General features: G+C 39.3%; 1 protein-coding gene across 2 annotated transcripts in view; it reads left to right on the forward strand.

Moving 5' to 3' along the window:
- Positions 1 to 15,561, forward strand: part of JADE3 (jade family PHD finger 3) — a 148,942-nt gene that overhangs the window by 74,566 nt on the left and 58,815 nt on the right. For both annotated transcript variants that reach the window (NM_001077445.3, NM_014735.5), the window contains exon 4: positions 11,254 to 11,411. In NM_001077445.3, coding sequence (NP_001070913.1) covers positions 11,254 to 11,411 — 158 coding nt within the window. The remainder of the gene's footprint in view (positions 1 to 11,253; positions 11,412 to 15,561) is intronic.

The raw sequence follows: 15,561 nt of genomic DNA on the forward strand, positions 1-15,561 counted from the left end.
CTATGAGTAGACTTCCTTAGCTGTAAAGGAACAGAGAATATATTAGTTATGTATTGCTACATTACAAATTATCACAAAATTCGTGTCTTAAAGCAGCACACACTTATATCTCAGTTTCTGTGGGTCAGTAATCTGGGCATGATGTGACTAGATTCTTTGTTCAGGATCTTTCAGGGCTGAAATCACTGTGGAAAATGGGATGTGTTCTCACCTGGAGGCTTGCCTAGGGAAGAATTTGCCACCAAGCTCATGTTGTAGGCAGAATTTGTCTCCTTGGAGCTGAAGGACTGAGGTTTCTGTTTTCCTTCTTGCTTTTGGCAGAGAGCACTCTCAGTTTCTAAAAGCCACTTGTAGTTTCTTGCCACATGGCCTTTTCCATAGATCCTCTCACAACATGGTAGCGTACTTATTCAGCGCCAGCAAGGAGAGTCTTTCCCTCCAGTCAGCTAAGATGTAGTGTTACATAACATAATATAATCATGGGAGTGGCATCCCCACCACATTTGCTATATAATGTGACCTAATCAAAGGAATGACATCCCATCATGTTTGCCATATTCTGTTGTTTAGAAGCAAGTCACAGGTCCCACTGCCTTAGTAGAAAGGGAGTGACTCTTTGTGGGTTACTTTTGGGTGTGTCCACCAGAGAGCATTTCTCTCTTCCTTGGAGGTCACTTTTCATTTGTTTCTTTTGCCAGGGATTTTTCTGGGCACAATAGAATGTAAGAGTTTATTTATATATGTCCATGTCATACAGAAAGACTTAGGGAATATAACACACATAAACAGGAGTGGAAGAAATTTCCCACCTGTCTAGAGGAGACTTTGACTACAGAATGGTGAGAAAGAAACCTCGCTACCTACCCTTTTAGGACGACAGCTGGTTCTAGGACATAAGGCAATTCAAGGGCTTTGGGTTTTGAGGCCTACTGCCTCCCAGGCAGTGGTAATAGTAGTCTTTTTTGTTGCAAGGGATAGGGGACCTGGGCTGCTGAAAGCAAATTGTTTTCGTTTATATTTAATATTCTGTTATAAAAAGGAAAACCTGGTGATATTGTAGGACAAAACTAGCCTTTGCATTAGAAGAGCTTGATCCCATGTTCTGCTTTGCTGGCTTATTTCATCTCTCTGAGATAATTTGTCAGCATAACATGGACATTATCATACCTATCTCTCATACCTATCATTTATTGAAGTTTTATGTGCCAAAAGCTTTACATTAAATAGTTTGTTTCCCAAATTTAAACAATTATGAGACTCTCCTTGGATGCCTGTTTAAAATAATGATTCCAGACTTACCCCACCCTGTGACACTACTGAATTAGTATTTCCAAGAAAAGTGCCTGGGATCTGGATTTTAAAAAGTGACTCAGGTGATTTTTATAATCAAGCACGTCGGGGAAGTAATATACTCTTGTTCTATTCCTCCAGTAACACTATAAAGTAGGTACTTTCCGGTTTTTTGTTTGTTTGTTTTGCAGGTGATGAGGCTCAGAGAAGTTACTTGCCCAGGGTCATTAAAAAAAAGCAGAACTGACATTCAAGTTTTTATTCATCCTGAATCTTGTTTTATTAACCAGTATGCATTGGACATATTATGTAGGGTACAATAAGTATATAGTAAACATTTGTTGAAACTTTGGCAGTTAAGAAATATGGGACAGCACCAGTGTTTTCTCATGAGTAGTTATAATCAAAGTTTCCATAATGGAGTGAGAGCAAAACTCAAGATTAGAGAGAACAAACCTGGAATTGAACAGGGGCTGGGAACCCAGGCAGCAAGGAGAATATGGTAGGAACCCTTGGTAAAAGAAGAAAAGTAAAAGTTAAGTGGGAATTGGCAAAGGTGACAAGCACACACTACTCACAGGTGAGTCTGAAGGCAGCCTTTGAGGAATCAGATGGAACCACTGTGAATTCTTTCTTCCTATTTGGCCCCTGAAACTGAAGCAATATTGCCATTGGCTGCTTTTTATTTATTTACTTATTTTGAGACGGAGTCTCGCTCTGTCGCTCAGGCTAGAGTGCAGTGGTGCGATCTCAGCTCACTGCAACCTCCGCCTCCCAGGTTCAAGCGATTTTCCTGCCTCAGCCTCCCAAGTAGCTGGGAGTACAGGTGCCTGCCACCGTGCCTGGGTAATTTTTGTGTTTTTAGTAGAGACAGGGTTTTACCATCTTGGTCAGGCTGTTCTTGAACTCCTGACCTCGTGATCCACCCACCTTGGCCTCCCAAAGTGCTGGGATTACAGACGTGAGCCACTGCGCCCTGCCGCCATTGGCTGCTTTTTTCAAAGCGTCAGTTTATGCCCTATTTCTGATAGCAGACTATCACTTTTCTCTCAATTTCTGATTTTCCTGGCCTTACTTGCTGCACCTGTTTGCTTCAAACAGTTGTTTTAAGGTTCACTTAAGAAATATGACATATTTGTATGCTTCTTTATTTCTGATGTTCCCATTTTTCTTTTTTGTTCATTTGTTTCTGTTTGAAGAATTTCCTTTAGCTGTTATTTTAGGATAGGTCTGCTGGTGATAAATTCGCTTAGTTTTCCTTCATTTGAGGATGTCTTGATTTCTCCTTCATTCCTGAAGGATATTTTCACTTGATATAGAATTCTGGTTTCACAGTACTTTTCTTTCAGCACTTGGAAAATGTTGTGCTACTTCCTTCTGGCCTCCATGGTCTCTGATGAGAAATCTGCCCCCATTCAAATAGGTTGTTCTCCTCTAGGTAGTCATTTCTTTCCCAGTTGTTTTTGAGATTTTTCTTTGTCTTTAGTTTTTAAAAGTTAGATTATGATGTACCTGGGCATGGATTTCTTTTGGCTTATCCTCTTTGGGCTTTAGTCAGCTTCTTGAATCTGTAGATTTATATCTTCCACTAAGTTTGGGAAATTTTCAGCCATTATTTCTTCAAATATTTTTCAACTCCACCTTCTTTTTCCCCTCCTTTTGGGGCTTCAGTTGCATGAATGGTAGATCTTTTGTTATTTTCCCACAGGTCCCTCAGGCACTTTTCTTTTTTTTTTCAGTGTATATTCTGTTGAACAGATTGAATAATTTCTCTTGTTCATTGGTTCCATCTTCTGTTTGTTAATTCCATTCATTAGTTGAGCCTATCTTATGAGTTTGTTATTTCAGTAATTGCATTATTCCATCCTAAAATTTCCATTTGGTTATTCTTTATATATATATTCCATTTCTTCACTGAGACTTTCTGTTTTTTGTTTCAAAAGTGTTTGTAATTTCTTGTTGAAACATTTTTATCATGGATGTTTTAAAATCCTTGTCAGATAATTCTAACATCTGTGGATCTCAGTGTTGATGCCTGTTGATTGTCTCTTCTCGTTCCCAGTTCTTAGTATGATGAGTGATTTTCAGTTGTATCCTGGACTTTTTTAGTATTATGTCATTAGACACTGAGTCTTATTTAAATCTTCTGTTTTAGTAGTCCTCTGCTATAACCAGGCAAGTGGGGAAGAGGGGTCCTGACTCTCTACTACCTGTTGTAGAATTCCTGAGCTCCCCATCCTAGCTCTTTCACTCTCTGGGAAGCAGCACTGGGGAGTCTCTACTGCTTCATAGAGGTGGAAATTCCCACCACTTTGTTGCCCCCACTGATGATGGAGGGTATGGTGGTAGTGAAGGTACCACCTTATTGATCAGTGATGGTGACAGCCCAGGCTCCCTACCCAGTCTGCCAACATCACATTGAGGAGGAGAGGTGCCTCATTATTGCTGGGAGAGAGTGAACATCAAGACCTCTCATGTGGTGTACATTGACACCCCAATAATCACCCTCTTTTAAAAACCATTTTTAACATCTTTTCTTGAAATATAATTCTTGTAGCATACAATTCACCCATTTTAAGTGTATAATTCAGTGGGTTTTAGTATGTTCAGAGTTGTGTAACCATTACAATCATAATTTAGAACATTTTCATCATCTCAGAAAGAAACCCCTTACCCATTAGCAGTTACTCCCCAATCTCCCTACCTGCAACCCCTGGCAACCACTAATTTACCTTCCTTCTCTATGGATTTGCCTATTCTAGACATTTCATATAAATGGAATCATACAATACGTGCCCTTTGTGTCTGGCTTCTTTCACTGAACATAGTGTTTTCACCTCTCATGTTGTAACATGTATTAGTTCCTTCCTTCCTTCTTTCCTTCCTTCCCTCCCTCCCTCCCTCACTCCCTCCCTCCCCCCCCCCCCCCACTTTCTTTCTTTCTTTTGGCAGAGTTTCACTCTTGTTGCCCAGGCTGGAGTGCAATGGCGCAATCTCGGCTCACTGCAACCTCCGCCTCCTACGTTCAAGCGATTCTCCTGTCTCAGCCTCCTGAGTAGCTGGGATTACAGGCATGCACCACCATGCCTGGCTAATTTTGTATTTTTAATAGAGACGGAGTTTCTCCATGTTGGTCAGGCTGGTCTTGAACTCCCGACCTCAGGTGATCCACCCACCTCAGCCTCCCAAAGTGCTGGGATTACAGGTGTGAGTCACTGCACCTGGCCACTTCATTTCTTTTTATGACTGAATGATATTACATTTTATCAGTACACCACATTTTGTTTATCCGTTCATCAGTTGGTGGACATTTGGGTTGTTTCCACTTTTGGAGTATTATGAGTAATTCTGCTATGAACATTCAGGTACAAGTTTTTATGTTGACGTACGTTTTCAGTTGTCTTGACTATACACATAGGAGTGGAATTGTTGGGTCATATAGTAACTCTACTTAACCATTTAACTACTTAAAGAACTACGAGTCTGTTTTCCAAAGGGGCTCATCATTTTTCAGTCACACCAGCAATATATGAGAGTGTTAGAAATTTGTTATTGCTGTAACAGAGACTTCAAATTCTTCTAGTGACACTGTTTTTGTCTCTCCTCTTGGCTCAAGGTCTCTTTGTGCTTGTCCTCATAGGAATTTTGTTTCTTGCAGCTCTCCCAAGCTGTTAGCCAGTGTTATTATCCCTGGAGTCTTTAGCGTAGTAGAGGGTATGGGGGAGGGGCAGTATTCGCTAATCTTCTCATTAACTCTTTCTTAGTCTTTAGGGTGCATAGTGGTCCTGTTTCTGGGGGTGGAAGTGGTGGTAGGGAAGGTAGTCTTCAGGTAGAGCCTTTTTGCCACTGCCCCCTGTTCCCTCATTGGCCTGTAGCAGGTATCTTCTGATGTTCTCAGCCTTTGTCCTTGAGGTTCTCTCTCCTGTAGATTACCTTTTTGCCCGTTAGGTAACACAGGGAGGCTGAGGCTGGATGCTTTTCCCTTCTCCCAGCAGTAATGAAACTACACCATTGTCCTGACTTGATACCCTTCCCCTGCAGATGAAGCCTTTTGTTTGGTAAGGGAACCAGGGCACTAAGCACCAAGTACCCAGACAGCACCACTCTGGTGCTTTCTCCAGGTACCGCCCCCTGCCCCGGCCCTGCCCCCACCCCAGCTTCCCTGTGTGAGCCTAATTGGGTTCCTGAAGAAAAAGCTTGCAAGCGGGTGGGACCCCCCCCCCCATAACTACAGCCCCCAAGAACTTCATATTCTCATATCAGTCCCCACGCAGCATCCAGCGATTCAAAATTTCTAGTTTAATGTTCCTGCTGTGGCTTCTGCCACAGGTAACCAAATGCTCTGCCCTGTGTCTCCCTGCAGGCACCTGTCTCTCTGAATTGGGTATTTGTGCTGTGATTCACTTCTCTGATGGGTTCATGAAAATTTGTTAATTTGCTGCCTGTCCTGCCATTTGCTTCTTATAAAAACGGGAGGTTGTTTTGTTTTGTTTTTTGTTTTCTGACTACAGGTCTGAGACAAAACCAGAATTCTTGAGCCTTATGATTTTACTGGGAATTAGTCACTGACATGCAATATAAATTACCCCTTTTGCAGAGGATTAATTGGCTGCATTAAAAGATACATATTTTTCTTTGATATTTAGTGTATCAGTGAGATTCTTGTGCAAATCTCCCTCTAATTTATCCTGTAGAGAAGAGTTTCCTAGGGATATGTGAATCCCCTGTATGGTTCAGGGGCTTTGTGTACCTTCTGGAAATTGTATACAGATTTTTAAGGGTATGTTCTTTGTTAATTTTTTTTTCTGAGATAGTAGCCTTATCTGATTCTTAAAAGGGCCCATACTCGTAAAGTTGTTGTTGTTGTTTTTAATCCCTAGAAAAAGTACATAGTAACTGGCTGGGTGCTGTGGCTCATGCCTATAATCCCAGCACTTTGGGAGACTATTAAAAAGTCTTCCATTCTTTATCAAAAGCTAGGATATTTTTGACTACTAGTCTGGTGTGTAAAACATATCAACCTATCTTAAAACATTGACTGCATATCATCTGTAGGCCTGGAGTCTCATTATTATCCAAGACTTTCATAGCAACAGAATGAAAGCTCATATATTTTAATTCAGTGGAGAGCACTACATACTCTCTAGTAAAGCCTGTTTACATCATTGTACCTATATTTCTAACAAGCTTAATTACTTGGTTTTCTGACCTACAGCAGATAAAAAGCACTGAGCTACAAGTGCATACTTATTACACAAAAAGGGACATTGAGGGAAGGGAGAATAATTTGCAAAGCAGCCTTCAAATGTTATTTCTTGTGCTGAAATTGCTCAGATCTCTAAATCAGACTTTGTTGCTCCCCCTTCTCCGTTATACCTCTGTTTGATATGGGGGAAAGGGAATAATCCAACTTAAGCAACCCAAAGGTACATTGCTTTATGGTAATTGATGTTGCAGTTGGTGTTAGCCCATAGCCATCAAAACGTTCTGTTTATTCTTTATAAGAAACCTGAGAGTTATTTTAAACTATTTGAAAAATATTTCCATGGGTTTTAAAGTTTCAAATTTAGAAATTACATAAGCTTTTTGATTCATTGAAAAAAATCAATGTGGGATGCAATGTCTTGACAAAACAAGAACAGAGTTTTTAAGGGTTTTAGGCACAGTGTTCTTTGCTAAGTTTTCTCTGCTATTGATTTTCTGGATAACCTGACAACTTTTTTTGCCTAAAGATTGTATAATTATAATTAATTCCTTTTGCTTAAATATAATTACCAGTTTGTAGCTGTTTTATGCTTTTGGGGTGACATGTTAGTTTGTGGTCAGTTATGTGTAGCTTCAGATTTCAGTGACTGAATCAAAATTGTTCAATCTCTCTGCTTTATTCACACGGACCAGACAGTGTTACTCTTTGTGTCATACAGGAAGTTAATGTTTTGACTTTTCCTATGAAAAATGTCACACAAATGTTCAGAGGAGCTGTGCTTTAAAAAACTGCCAACTGAGAGATGTTAATGAGAGCAATAAAAGCCAGAGTTGTCTGCAAAGGGCATTTTCATTTTGTGGCTCTGGCAGGTTAAGCATTGATGTTCTAATTGAATTCATAGTGAGGCCTCCTTTGTTTCTGCAAGCATCTGACAGGCCAGATGTGCACACAGTGTTGGGCTTGGCATAGCTTCTGGACTGTATGTTAGCCAGTGAATCCCCTCTTTGACCATAAATGAACAGTTATCTGGTAAGTACAAAGCCTTTTTGTTTCAGGAACTTTTGGGAAAACTACCAGTGCATATAAAATAGACACACTATTAAGAACTTGTAAAACTTCTCAACTTCATTACCTAGAAAGGTCAGGGTCAGCATCTAGATCCCTCCTTCATTATCTTTAATTTAGCAACAAATGGCTGTGTTTTATTTTGTGAAGTTTCTACATTACCTTGTGGCCTTTGGAACGTTAGTTAAAGTTCTTGATGGGGCTCTTGCTTGGGAACTGTGTCTTTGGGAGCCAAACCATGCACATTTTAACTGAGCTGTGAACTCATATCTCTCTTACCCCATCAACAATTACTTTGTGGACTATAGAGAAGAACTCAGTTATATACTTGTTTCTGATTTTAGAAGGAATGCTATGGTGATGATAATAAAATAACACCATCTAGCATTTATTTGGAAATTACTGTGAGCTCCATACTGTGCTAAGTCCTTTATACAAGTTCACCCATTTAATCTTTACAACAACCCCTATGAGGTGAGTGTTATTATCCCCATTTTATAGATAAGTTGAGACGCAGAATTTGGATAACTTGCTGAAAGCTACAGTAGTGAAATCAGTATACCAATCCAGGTGGTCTGTCCCAGACCCATATTCCTTTAAGATTTTTTTTTTTTTTTTTTGAGATGGAGTCTTGCTCTGTCGCCCAGGCTGGAGTGCAGTGGTGTGATCTCAGCTCACTGCAAGCTCCGCCTCCTGGGTTCATGCCATTCTCCTGCCTCAGTCTCCCTAGTAGCTGGGTCTACAGGCACCCGCCACCACACCCAGCTAATTTTTTGTATTTTTAGTAGAGACGTGGTTTCACCGTGTTAACCAGGATGGTCTCGATCTCCTGACCTCGTAATCCACCCGCCTTGGCCTCCCAAAGTGCTGGGATTACAGGTGTGAGCCACCACGCCTGGCCTAAGATTTTTTAATTATATAAAGTATTTGCCTGCTTCAGACTTTAAACTGTAAAACAAAATATATTGAGAGATCCAGCTAGATTCAGCTCAACTATTTTGGTAACTTTTCTATAAGTCTCTCTCCCCTCCCTGTTTTCTCCTCACTCTGCAGAGTTAACCTTTTTTGTTAAGTTTTTGGTTTATTCTTTTATTGTTTCTTTATGAAAATATATACAAATATGTATGTATGTGTGTGCCACTTCTGTATATAAAATTCTCCTCACTAATCGGGATTTGCTATAGTTATTTTGTTTTCAGTTCAAAAACTTTAAAAATGCCTTTTCTTATCAAAAGCGGGTTAATGAGACCAGTCTGGTAAATATGTTTTATATCACTTTGCAGATATCTTCTGCCTGAGTACTGAACTGACATTCCCATCCACTCAGCATTTTATGTTCTGTCTCATGCTTGAGATTGACTTCCATAGCAAAATAAGGCAGCCTCTCACACTCTGCCTTAAGTAAAAATGCTTCTCTAGAAAACTTAGATCTGATGCTCTTTAATCTGGCTAGCTTGTAAAATTGAAATCAGGCTTATCATATGCCTGTTTTTCTCTAAAGGGGAAGGAAAAATTATAATAGTCATTGGATTCAGTTTTCATTTGCTTAAGAAAAACAGGTATGAATTGGTTGGTGGTTTCCCAGACTTCACCTTCGTGGAGGTTTGAGTATTTCTCTCTTTTTTTTGAGGCAGAGTCTCGCTCTGTCGCCCAGGCTGGAGTGCAGTGACGCGATCTCGGCTCACTGCAGCCTCCGCCTCCTGGGTTCAAGCAATTCTCCTGCCTCAGCCTCCCAAGTAGCTGGGACTACAGGCATGCACCGCCACACCTGGCTAATTTTTGTATTTTTAGTAGAGACGAGGTTTCACCATGTTGGCCAGGATGGTCTTGATCTCCTGACCTCGTGATCCACCCACCTCGGACTCCCAAAGTGCTGGGATTACAGGCGTGAGCCACTGCACCCGGCCAGGTTTGAGTATTTCTGAAGCCATAGACAAGGACCACATTTCATTGGCCTCTGCTTTTGTATACCTTTGTCTGTAGTCTTCAAGTTACTCTTCTGTTTGGTAAACATGTATATTAGTTTCCTAGGGCTATAATAAATTAACATAAACGAGGTAGCTTAAAACAGTAGGAATTTATTCTTTCACAGTATGAAGGCCAAAAGTAAAAAATCAGCCAGTCTGTGCTCCCTCCGTAGGTTTTAAGGGCGATTCATTCTTTGCCTCTTCCAGCTTTTGGTGGATGTCAGCATTGATTGATTTGTGGATCAATGAATCACTCTAATCTCTGCCTCCATGATCACACTACCTTCTCCTCTTCCATCTCAAATCTCCCTCCACCTTTCTCTTGTAAGGACACTTGTCAATGGACTTAGAGCCCACTTGGATATTCCAGAATGATATCTTCACCTGAAGATTCTTAACTTAATTACATCTGCAAAGACCCTTTTTCCAAATAAGGTAATATCCATAGTTTCTGGGAACTAGGATGTGGACATATCTTTTTGGAGGCCACCATTCAATCCACTGCAATATGTTTTCAGGTTAGGAAACTATGTAGAGCAGATTTCATAAGCAGTTATGGCAAGTATGAAGGTACGGCTTATGCTTTGTAATTAGATCATTTGGCATTATTCATTATTAGTCAAGCCCAAAGCATGATCTTGTAATCAATTGATATATTTTATAAAGACTATCACTTGGAAAATAATGAAATATTTTAGGATGTTGACACATACTTTCCAGAACTAAGGAAGGATTTCCCACAGCACCATCTTTCCCAAAGATAGTAGTTTAGCAAATTGGAAATTGCCACCACTACTTAACCACTGCCTCATTAAAGATACTCTGAGGCCAGGCACCGTGCCTCACGCCTATAATCCCAGCACTTTGAGAGGCCAAGGCGGGCAGATCACTTGAGTTTAGCAGTTTGAGACCAGCCTGGGCAACCTGTCGAAACCCTGCCTCTACAAAAATTACAAAAAAAAAAATTACAAAAATTAGCTGGGCATGGTGGTATGTGCCTGTAGTCCCAGCTACTCAGGAGGCTGAGGTGGGAGGATCGCTTGAGCCTGGGAGGCAGAGGTTGCAGTGAGCCAAAGTCACGCTATCGCACTCCAGCCTAGGTAACATAGTGAGACCCTGTCTCAAAAAAATAAAATTAAATTCTGGAACAGAAAGACATTAGGGAGAAAAATAGTGAAAATTTGAATGAATTCTATACATTAGTTAATAGTATTATAGCATTGCTACTTTCCTGGTTTAGGTAATTGAACTCTGGTTATATAAACTGTAAACAATTAGAGGAAACTAAGTGAAGGATATATGGAAACTTTACTATTTGATAACTTTTCTTTAAGTCTAAAATTATTTCTAAATAAATTTTAAAATGAAATGATGCCCAAATAATTATTAACTATCAGTGGATACTTGTTACTTAATTTAAGAAAGTTAAGGATTGTTTTATACAAACTGTTTTGAGTAACCTGTATTGTTGGTTTAAATTTAGAGAACCCAAGAAAATAATTCAGGAAGGACTGCATTACCCTTTATTAAATCCCAAATAAGCTGGCTTCCTTGTCAGTACTTCAAACCTTTCCAAACAGAAGTTGATCTGGCCATTTAGGAAGTTAGAGATGTTTCTCTTGTTGGAAGCAGAGTGGATGGGGATGGTCTTTTTAAAAGGAGAACATTGAATGGTATCAGTTGCATAGTGATGGTCTTCTCAAGATATGTGCAATATCTTTCCAGGTATTCCGGAAGGACCTCATCAGTGCCATGAAACTTCCAGATTCTCACCACATTAATCCTGATAGCTATTACCTCTTTGCTGATACATGGAAGGAAGAATGGGAAAAGGGAGTCCAGGTACCAGCCAGTCCAGACACCGTTCCACAGCCTTCTCTCAGGTATTTGCATGCTTGCACCTTTGACTTAGGGAATGAATGCTCTCATGTTTGTCTGCTGCTTGGGGAGAAACTTAGAGTGGCTAATTATGCATTTATAGTACAAAGTCACATACCATTTTCACCAATTCACTCAGACCAGTGGCAGATTTTACCAGGCTATAATAAGCAATAAAGTCAGGCTCATGTATTTAGGGACATAGTATGTGCCCATTATTCATAGGATAAAACCATTTGAAGTCCAATCTGAAATTATGATAAAATTTTGGAGACAAGAATTTCCAAGTCTTGACTCAACAGTCAGTAGCATTTATTAGTCTTCTGAGAGAAACAGAATTAATTACATAATGCCTGTCTTAGTCTGTTTACTGTTGTTATAACAATACCTGAGTCTGTTTTATTTATTTATTTGTTTGTTTGTTTGTTTATTTATTTTGAGATGGAGTCTTACTCTGTCACCCAGGCTGGAGTGCAGTGGCACCATCTTGGCTCACTGCAACCTCTGCCTCCCGGGTTCAAGAGATTCTCCTGCCTTACCCTCCCAAGTAGTTGGAATTACAGGCGTGCACCACCTTGCCCAGCTAATTTTTTTGGTATTTGTTTTAATAGAGACAGGGTTTCATCATGCTGGCCAGGCCGTTCTTGAACTCCTGACTTCATGATCTGCCCACCTTGGCCTCCCAAAGTGCTGGGATTACAGGCCTGAGCCACCGCGCCTGGCCGAGTCTGTATAATTTATAAAGAAATATTTGGCTCACAGTTCTAAAGACTGGGAAGTCCAAGGGCATGGCAGCAGCTTCTGAAGGGCTTTTATACTGTGTTATAACATGTGAGAAAAGAAGAAGGACAAGTGAACATGTGTTTAAGAGATCACAAGAGTGAGCCAAGCTCACTTTTATGATGACCCACTCTTGTGAGAATTAATTCACTCCTGCAGGAACTCATTCCCACAAGAACTAACTGCTGCTATAACAGCATTAGTCAATTCATGAGCACTCCACCCTCAATACCCAATTATCTCTTAAAGACCCCACCTCCCAACACCATCACATTGGGAATTAAGGTTCCAATACACAAACTTTTGGTGACACATTCAAACTATAGAAACACCTGTGGGAAGTTTTATATATATATATATAACATATATATACATATATAACATATATATATATATATAACATATATATACATATATAACATATATATATATAAAATAGGGTCTTAAAGTAATGGTATCTATAAATAGAGGGTCAAAAACATAGAGTAATGGTACCTGTAAATAGAGGGCCAAAAACATAGAGTTTGTAAATGCATAAACCCAAATAAAAGGGGATTACTGAATGATTGAGTTGACTCTAAGCACATGGCCTTCATTTGCATTAGACCTGAGAAGAAAATTGAAATAGGAGAGGGCTTTGGTTTTAGAAAGAGGAGAGAAGGACTTTTCTGCCAGAGGAAGTAATAAGTAATAAGTTCAGTTAAAGAGTAGCGACTGGTTTTGGAAGCCATTTTTTCTTTCTGGTCTTTGTGTTTCCAATACTTTACACAAAGGTTGGCATTAAACAAAATGCTGAGTAAAAGTTTGAGTGAATGAATGAATGGGTAGAATGTAGAGTGCCAAATAAAGGGGCTAGTGGGACCTACTGGTTACTGTGAGAAATTGCAGATCTTATTGTACACCCATCAATTTCTGTTACATATTAGATTTTTTTAAGGGCAGAGATAACATCCTTGAATTCTCTGCTCCTAGTACTAGGTTTTTAAGACCTAGTCATGCTCCAGAAATGCTTGTTGGAATCATTTCTAGAAACCCAGGCTGTCCTACCCACAGAGGCTGTCCTACCCACAGAGAGGCTGCCTATGCTCTGTTAAGGAAAGCTCCACAGCCTTGCTCAGCACATGTCCCAAAACTCACTGGTTCATCATCAACACCATCTCCTGCCCCCTAAAAATCAGAGTAGCATCATGAATGAACATATGAGTTGAGTGTTTTCATGTCCTTGTTGTCAGTATTTTTATACAAATATAGCAGCCCTGGTGCTGAGTTGACCATCACCATTCCATTGATACTCCGAGGATTATTGAGTGTGACTAGCATCTTGACTTTAGTCTCGTTGGTAAGTCAGTATCAATTATCTACTTATTGGAGGTGATTTTAATCTTTTAGGTTGAGTGGAAAATGTCCCCTGTACCACTTTAAAAATGTTATCTGATAAGTGAGCCATGGGTAAGTAGGGTAGCAAGAATGGAGCAACAGTTTAAGAACAGTAATTTATTTTCATTTTTTTAATTTTTTGAGATAGGGTCTCGCTCTGTCACTCAGGCTGGAGTGCAGTGGCATGTTGTCAGCTCACTGCAACCTCCGCCTCCTGAGTTCAAGTGATTCTCATGCCTCAGCCACTTGAATAGCTGGGGTTACAGGCATGTGCCACCATGCCTGGATATTTTTGTATTTTTAATAGAGACGGGGTTTCACCATGTTGGCCAGGCTGGTCTCAAACTCCTAGCCTCGAGTAATTTGTCCGCCTTGGCCTCCCAAGTGCTAGAATTAAATGTGTGAGCCCCCGCCCTCAGCCTAAGAACAACAGTAATTTTAGAAACTAAAAGAGTTTAACTTGTTTTCAAATATAGGGATGTGCGTTCCTAATTCATGTGTGGCTTCAGTGCTCTATTATTTGTTCCGAGGGCTTCACATATTTACCATTATAAGTGCTGTGAATTGTTGGTAAATCTCTTCTGTTTCCCATAGTTCTTTGCCTATCATACGAAACTCTTAATTTTAATGGAACAACAAGGCAGACTATTAAATTATTGATCATATTGAATTCCTTAATGAAATCCTTAACTGGTTGCTCTTGGTAGGTATATCAGTTTCTGTTTTTTAGAAAATATCAATAAGACTTGTACTGTAGTATGTAGCCTTTCCTATGGAACAGTAATTCTCAAATTTTAGGGTGCATCAGAATCATTTGGAGGGCTTGTTAGAACAGATTTCTTAACCTCACCCCTAGTTTTTGATTCAGTAGATCTGAGGTGTGAGGTCTGAGAATTTGCATTTCTAACAACTCCTGACATGATACTGATGCCACTAGTCTGGGGATGACACTTTGAGAACAATTTTGTTATGAAATATGTTTATCTCATTTCCTGAATTTAATGGAAATCTCCATACTTTTATCATCTTCCTTGGATTTCTCTTTTGGCTTTCAATATAAGCCAGCCATATTGGAGGCTCAACCTATTTAGGATTTGGTTGGAGTACCTAAACTTTGTTTGGAGTACCTAATTTCCTCAACCACAGCTGCTTATCACAGCAACCCTTAACTATCATCATTTTGCATGGGTCAAACTATGTCTTGTGATTTTTACTTTCTGAATTTTGTAAGTCACCTTAAAAATTAAATCTTTGTGATATGAAATTATATTGGAACATTAATAAATAATTTGTTTTCATGTCCTTCAACAGATTTTCAAAATCAAATGACTTCAATTAACATTTTTAAGTACTATATAAATTCAGGCCTATTTAGATACCCCATGGTATGAAGTTACTCTCAGACTTGCCTTTTAACTAGGAACTAGTCTTAAGGTTTTTTGGCAGAGCTTTCTATTTGCCATCCATATACCCTTTTCAGTGAAATATATCTTTGTCTTTTGCCTGTTTTCTAATCAGATTCTTTGTTTTTTTACTATTGAGTGTTGAGAATTACTTATAAATTTGAGATATGAATCCATTGTCAAATATGTGGTTTGCAAATATTTTCTCCCAGTCTATTTATAGATTGACTTTTCGTCCAGTTAAGAGGGTCGTTCACAAAGTATAAGTTTGTGATTTTGATGAAGTTCAATTTATTGATTTTTTTTTTCTTCTGGATCATGCTTTTAATGTCATGCTGTGAACTTTTCACTTAGCTCTATGTCTCAAAAATATTCTTCTATGTTTTCTTTTAAGAGTTTTATAGTTTTACATTTAAATGCGTGAACCATTTTGAATTAATTTTGTGTAAGATATGAGGCATAGATCAAAGTTCAAAATCAGGTAAGTTGATTCTTCCCACTTTATTCATTTTTCAAAATTGCTGTGGCTATTCCACTTTCTTTGTCTTTCCATTCAAATTTTATAATAAGCTTTCCATATGTACAAAAAATCTTG

This window comes from Homo sapiens, chromosome X (genome assembly GCF_000001405.40).
Source record: "Homo sapiens chromosome X, GRCh38.p14 Primary Assembly".
In the NCBI taxonomy this organism is placed as follows: Eukaryota; Metazoa; Chordata; class Mammalia; order Primates; family Hominidae; genus Homo; species Homo sapiens.